The sequence below is a fragment of the Homo sapiens genome, chromosome 11, assembly GCF_000001405.40.
Source record: "Homo sapiens chromosome 11, GRCh38.p14 Primary Assembly".
Taxonomy (NCBI): domain Eukaryota; kingdom Metazoa; phylum Chordata; class Mammalia; order Primates; family Hominidae; genus Homo; species Homo sapiens.
The window spans coordinates 55,336,886-55,344,728 of record NC_000011.10 but is presented as its reverse complement, the minus strand read 5'-3'; the positions used below and the strand labels follow the sequence as shown (position 1 = coordinate 55,344,728).

Genomic DNA, 7,843 nt, shown 5'->3' with positions numbered 1-7,843 from the left:
ACGATTGCAAGTGTGAGCCACTGCACCTAGCCAATCCTGTCTTTCATTAAAGACAATATCATCTGTCATCCAAATATCCTGAACTGGAAATGCATAGACATGACTTGCGGAATGGAAGCAACCTTAAAACAAAATTAATAACACAGAAAGCTGCTTTACTAATAGAATAATAAAAAAATAAGATTTAAAAACAACTCTCTTTTCCCCAGAAATCTGTTTTAAGTATTAGCCAAATTGCTTTCTCATGAATTTGGGTAAAAGTACATCTACAGAAGTGGCTTGTGTTTTCTCTTTTGAAAATAATCAATAACTTTAAGTCCTAATTCAATATAAACTGAGAAAAATAAAGTTACAAGGTGAGCTTGGTTTTATTTTTACTTGTACCAAGACCTTTTATTCAGTACCTGTGATTTTATTCATTCTCCAAATTTCTCTTTAGATTTATTCTAGTCTCAGTGGATAATTTATACTACTTTTCTGATGGCTTTATGTAGATAGAGAGAAGCATCCCTACAGAATCTGTTGAATTGACTGCAGTATTTTACCGCCTATTTGTTGCCTTAGAACTAGGAATAAATATGTTCAGTGTGGGAGATACTCTTTTTCTAACTATACTTAACTTTTCACACCAGAGATTTTTCATAGCATTTTTCATCTCTGATTGTCTCAACGAGTATATTAAAGGATTCAACATGAGTGTGATAATTGAATAAAACACAGTCATTAATTTATCAAAGGGAAAGTTGGAAACGGGTCTAACATACATAAAAATACAGGGAACAAAAACGAGGGCAACCACAATGATGTGGGAGATGCAGGTAGGCAGGGCTTTATGCCTCTCTTCCTGACTGTAAGTTTTAAGGAAGTTTAGGATGACTCCACAGGAGATTAGCAGAAAGGTAAAGATGACCATACAAATTATTCCACCATTGGCAACCACAGTGAGTCCTATAAAGTAGGTGTCAAGGCACAACAGTTCCAACAATGGGTACATGTCACAGACAGAGTGGTCAATAACATTGGGGCCACAGATTGGTAGACTGTACAGAAAGACAATTTGAACCACAGAGTGCACAAAACCTCCAATCATGGCCACCACCAACAGAAGGATGCAAACCAGTCGATTCATGATGTTCAAATAGTGCAGCGGCTTAGAGATAGCCACATAGCGATCATAGGCCATCACCACCAAAAGGAAGACCTCTGCACCACCAAGTAAGTGTTCTATGAAGAGCTGACCCATGCAAGCTGACAAGGAAATAGCGATTTTATCACAGAGTAAGTCTATCATCAATTTGGGTGACATGGCAGTGGAATATATGGCATCCATAAGTGACAAGTAGGCAAGGAAGAAGTACATTAGGGAGCCCAAGGAGGGGCTGCCAATAGTAGTCACCCAAATGAGGAGGTTTCCCACCATTGTCACAATGTATATGAGTAAAAACATGACAAATAATGTTTTTTTCACATCAGGATCTTGAGTGAGGCCCAGGAGGACAAATTCTGTAACATTGCTGCTTGGTCTCATTTACTCTTCTTTCAAGCTTATATCAGAAATGAGAGCTCAGGAGAACAGGGACTGTAATGAAATAGTGAACAGAAAAATAAATACATCCATTATGTCACAGAGCACATCTACATCGTTATATCTTCCACGGCCATTTATACTCAATAAACGTTTACTAAGTCTCTATTGAGTTCCTCATCCAAACTGTCCAATAGGCCTTCCCTTGAAAATTCTATATCCCTCAGAAGATTTTGTTTTCAGCCAACAGATAAATGATCTAACTCTAAGTCTTAGTGGGTATTCTGTACAGGAAAATAGTTAAAAGTGCAACTATCATTCATACTTTAATAACTTCTTATTTAAAACATATTACTTTTTTGCACCCCAATCAGCTTTGATGGACAGGAAACAGTCTCCCACTCTCAAGAAACTTACTCTTATAAACTTGTTATGAGTTAATGAGCGCAGCACACCAACATGGCACATGTATACATATGTAACTAACCTGCACGTTGTGCACATGTACCCTAAAACTTAAAGTATAATAAAAAAAGTTATAAACTTGCAATAACTAAATTAGCATAGACTCAGTCCTTCACATTTGTAGTAGTTGCAGGGACTTTACAATATGACCTGTGTAGCAACAAAATTAACCATCTTCTGAAATATCTCACATAGTACTATAACATTCCACTGTTAAACATTCAGACCTCCATGTCTCAAAAAAATAAACAGTTTTCTTTAATCTCTCATTAAATTTCAAGATACTGGACTTTTACCAGTATAAATAACCACAAAATCTCTGACTGTTCGAGTTCTAGGGAGTTTCCATTACATCCTTGCCTATACCACAATTCCAAACACATTTACTATTCTAATTTCAGCATAGTTTTAAACTGAACTAAACTAACTCATCCCTGTCACCAGCTATTACATCAGCAACTAGAGGGTTTTTTTGTTTGCTTTTTTGGCAGAACTCATACAGTGAACTGGATAGTGAGAGAGGAGAAAATATACAATGAAAAGAGAGGTAAAAAATGGTGAAACATAGTTTTATTTATAATGTTGTTCAGGTACTAAGAGTGCTCAAAAATACAACCTCAGCATCCAGACTAAAAACAAAAAAATACTGAAGGATAAATTCCAAGTTCAATGTAAGAAAGCATGGGTTGAGTCATTTTCTTTCCTTCTTTTTTTGAGATGGAGTCTCACTCTGTCATCCAGGCTGGAGTGCAGTGGTATGATCTTGGCTCATTGCAACCTCCACCTCGTGGGTTCAAGTGATTTTCCTGCCTCAGCCTCCTGAGTAGCTAGGACTACAGGTGCGTGCCACCACACTCAGCTAATTTTTGTATCTTTAACAGAGACAGGGTTTCATCATGTTAGTCAGGATGGTCTTGATCTCCTGACCTTGTGATATGGGAGTGACAGTAAATATCAGTGTCTAGTGTGATTCATCAGTCTAGCCAAAATACAGAGTTTGAAGTAATAAGGCAAGTTCCTTGGAACAACTTGGTCCATGACCAACAGAGACATTTTAGAAACATTACCAAATATAACATCTCTTTCACATCCTAGTAACACAAAGAAGTAACAATAACTCTGGGAGATTTATAATGGGAAGTTACTCACACAATGCCATGGAAACCCAATAACCTTAATGCCCAGTTGTTTTCAGAAGTGTCTACTATGGGAAGTTATGCACACTGGAGACTCCCACAGAAGCCTAATTCTGCCACCCTAGGATGAAAACTGGCATTTTGGATTCAATATTCCTAATACACTGGCCAGATGAGGGCAATTTGAAAGACAACTACTGAGAAGTGCTTGAACTTTCACAGAGACACAGATTAATTCATTATGAGTGTCCTCGATGTCATGGTGACATTAGAGGGCCAGTTAAAAAAGCATAGCATGGCATGACAACGTTTCTTAATAAAATTGAAAGAGCATATGTAGAAATGTTCAAGGGGGTGGCTCTGATAAATATATCATATTTATAAGTATAAATTTCAGAACAAATAGAACCTCTGACAGAGGTTTTCATTCCTGCTAATCACTGGTATGAATGCAATTATCCTTTTCCTGATAAAGAAAAACAAGATATTTAATTTCCTAATGGAGATTTTCAAACGAAAGGGTATGATTCATATGGAAATCTGCTGAAATTCTCCCTCTGAATAGTAGAAATTTGGTTCAAGAAGGTAAAGTTAAGTCCTCTGAATGACCATATGTATGAGCAGCATAAACTTTAGTTCATGGAGCATTTGGTTCTCACTCTCAGAGCAATGTCTGAATATTTCCTGACACCTGTGGTGTAACCACACCATTTGGTCAGGTAGACAAGCCTCTGGTCTACCTGACCAAATGGTGTGGTTACACCACAGGTGTCAGGAAATATTCAGACATTGCTCTGAGAGTGAGAACCAAATGCTCCATGAACTAAAGTTTTTGCTGCTCATACATATGGTTGATCAAGAAATCCAGCAACAGAGGATGCTATTGTGGAAGCCACATTAGGATTCTAAGGGAAGATTAAACTGAGTGCTATAGGTCTTTAAGGAACCTAGGTTTTGATTCTTTTAAAAAAAGAATAGAAAGTCTTTGTCCCTGCATTTTCAGTGGCCATTTGGATATATGAGATGAATGACACATAATGATGGGAAGAATAGTGACATACTCCACTAAGTCAACCAAAACCAGTAATATCATAAAGACTCAGGTGTTTTATCAATAGCAGAAACACTGTTTAAATAGGATTAAAGAGTACTTGCTAGTGCCAAGAACCAAAACAGAGCTTTTAGGGTTATTACAAAGGATCAATAGCCATAGCTCCTAGTGATGTCAAATGGGTTTATCATGATTAGACTTTTAATGACACTTTGAGATTCACTTAGCCTGTAATCCAAGCCACAAATGAAAACACCATCTGGCTAGTGAAACAATACATGGACTACCAATTTGATCCCCAAATCTCATTGAATCAAAGCACAAATTTTCTCATGGCCAGTGGACATAAATGAGCTAAGAAGTACATCACATAAGCCGGTAGCAGTGGCTCACGCCTGTAATCGACAACACTTTGGGAGGCCAAGGTGGGCAGATCACCTGAGGTCAGCAGTTTGAGACCAGCCTGACCGACATGGTGAAAACCAGCCTCTACTAAAAATACAAAAATTAGCTGGGTGTGGTCTTACATGCCTATAATCCCAGCTACTTGGGAGGCTGAGGCAGGAGAATACCTTGAACCCGGGAGGCAGAAGTTGCAATGAGCCAGGATCATTCCACTGCATCCCAGCCTGGACGACACAGTGAGACTCTGTCTCAAAAGAAACAAACAAAAAAGTACCTCAAATGGACATATTATACCCCTTACAAACCATATAATAATGGCTTTTTTAAAAGATGAGTTGGAATTAAATAGGTAATAGTTTAAAGGAAAAATCGTGTCAGATGTAAAAGGAGCACACAAATGGGTGATAGCACCTAGAATGGACACTCTTATTCTTTACGCATGACATTATTTTGTTTCCAGAGAATAAAACTCCAGTTTCTCTCATATGTGACATGAAGTCAGCTAATGCTAGGAAAGGACGATGAACCCCTTCTCACTAGAATGGGAGAACTACACTGAAGTTATTTAATGCTCTGTTTGAGAATTGTATTATTTGTAGGAAAGATACAAGGCTGTAAATGCTTCTGTTGATACAACTGCATAAAAACAAATTATAACTATAAAAACGTGAAGATCATAAAAGATAAAGAGAGTAGCCCTATTGATAAAGGATGTCAAAAAGTGTTATTGTATAATCCTTAATTCTGGAATGTTGACATTAATGCTGAGACATGGACCGTATTGAGTTTCAACAGAAAGCTGAAAATTTACTACATCACCCTACTAGGGCAGAAATTGAACTTCAAACTCTTTTCCAAAACCCCGTGTACTAGCAAATTGCTGGAATTTCCTCTCACTCTCAATCTTTTACCTTTTTTGTGTTAGGGGAGATCTAAATGTGGTCTCAAACTGCCATATGAAATTCAGTAATTAGCTCAGTACTTGAGAGATGAGAAATGTAACAGCCATCAGACCTGTATTATGCAAAATGCAAAAAAAAGTTCCTCAGGCTGAAAAACACAATATTATATAAAAATTATAATTTATAGAAAAGAATTCAGAAAGTGGATATAATACATAGGGAGAGGGCAGTGGTTCTCCCAGCACGGTGTTTGAGCTCTGAGAATGGACAGACTGCCTCCTCAAGTGTGTCCCTGACCCCCATGTAGCCTAACTGGGAGACACCTCCCAGTAGGGGCTGACTGACACCTCGTACAGGTGGGTGCCCCTCTGGGATGAAGCTTCCAGAGGAAGGATCAGGCAGCAATGTTTCCTGTTCTGCAATATTTGCTGTTCTGCAGCCTCTGCTGGTGATATCTACGCAAACAGGGTCTGGAGTGGACCACCAGGAAAGTCCAACAGACCTGTAGCTGAGGGCCCTGACTGTTACATGGAAAACTAACAAACAGAAAGGAATACCATCAACATCAACAAAAAGAACATCCACACCAAAACCCCATCTGTAGGTCACAACATCAAAGACCAAAGTTAAATAAAACCACAAAGATGGAGAGAAACCAGAGCAGAAAAGCTGAAATTTCTAAAAACCAGAGCGCCTCTTCTCCTGCAAAGGATTGCAGCTCCTCACCAGCAATGGAATATAGCTGGATAGAGAATGACTTTGATGAGCTGACAGAAGAGGGCTTCAGAAGGACGGTAATAACAAATTTCTCTGAGCTGAAGGAGGATGTTTGAACCCATCACGTGGAAGGTAAAAACCTTGAAAAAAGATTAAATGAATGGCTAACTAGAATAAACAGTGTAGATAAGACCTTAAATGACCTGATGGAGCTGAAAACCATGGCACGAGAACTACGTGATGCATGCACAAACTTCAATAGCCAATGCGATCAAGTGGAAGAAAGGGTATCAGTGATTGAAGATCAAATTAATGAAATGAAGCGAGAAGAGAAGTTTAGAGAAAACAATGTGAAAAGAAACGAACAAAGCCTCCAAGAAATATGGGACTATGTGAAAAGACCAAATCTACGTTTGTTTGGTGTACCTAAAAGTGACAGGGAGAACAGAAACAAGTTGGAAATCACTCTGCAGGATATTATCCCGGAGAACTTCACCAACCTAGCAAGGCAGACCAACATTCAAATTCAGGAAATACAGAGAACACCACAAAGATACTCCTCAAGAAGAGCAACCCCAAGACACATAATTGTCAGATTCACCAAGGTTGAAGAGAAGGAAAAAATTTAAGGGAAGCCAGAGAGAAAGGTCGGGTTATCCACAAAGGGAAGCCAATCAGACTAACAGTGGATCTCTTCGCAGAAGTCCTATGAGCCAGAAGAGAGTGGGGGCCAATATTCAACATTCTTAAAGAAAAGAATTTTCAACCCAGAAATTCAAATCCAGCCAAACTAAGCTTCATCAGTGAAGGAGAAATAAAATCCTTCACAGACAAGCAAATGCTGAGAGATATTTTTCACCACCAGGCCTCCCTTACAAGAGCTCCTGAAGGAAGCACTAAACATGGAAAGGAACAACTGGTACCAGCCACTGCAAAAACATGGCAAATTGTAAAGACCATCAATGTGAGGAAGAAACTGCATTAACTAACAAGCAAAATAACCAGCTAACATCATAATGACAGGATCACATTCACACATAACAATATTACCTTAAAGGTAAATGGGCTAAATACCCAATTCAAAGACACAGACTGGGAAATTGGATAAAGAGTCAAGATCCATCAATGTCCTGTGTTCAGGAGACCCATCTCACATGCAGAGACACACATAGGTTCAAAATAAAGGGATGGAGGAAGATCTACCAAGCAAATGGAAAACAAAAAAAGGCAGGGGTTGCAATCCTAGTCTCTGATAAAACAGACTTTAAACCAACAAAGATCAAGAGAAACAAAGAAAGCCATTACATAATGGTAAAGGGATCAATTCAACAAGAAGAGCTAACTATCCTAAATATACATGCACCCAATACAGGAGCATCCGGATTCATAAAGCAAGTCCTTAGAGACCTACAAAGAGACTTAGACTCCCACACAATAATAGTGGGAGAATTTAACACCCCACTGTCAATATTAGACAGATCAACGAGACAGGAGGTTAACAAGGATATCCAGGACTTGAACTCACCTCTGCACCACGCGGACCTAATAGACACCTACAGAACTCTCCACCCCAAATCAACAGAATATACATTCTTCTCAGCACCACATCACACTTATTCCAAAATTGACCACATAGTTGGAA

The 7,843-nt window shown here is 38.7% G+C and overlaps 1 protein-coding gene across 1 annotated transcript; it reads right to left on the bottom strand.

Moving 5' to 3' along the window:
* Nucleotides 1–541: 541 nt before the first annotated feature.
* OR4A16 (olfactory receptor family 4 subfamily A member 16) lies at nucleotides 542–1,528 on the bottom strand. Its single transcript, NM_001005274.1, has one exon. The coding sequence runs from the start codon at nucleotides 1,526–1,528 to the stop codon at nucleotides 542–544; it is 987 nt and encodes a 328-aa protein (NP_001005274.1).
* Between the last annotated feature and the right edge of the window lie 6,315 nt (nucleotides 1,529–7,843).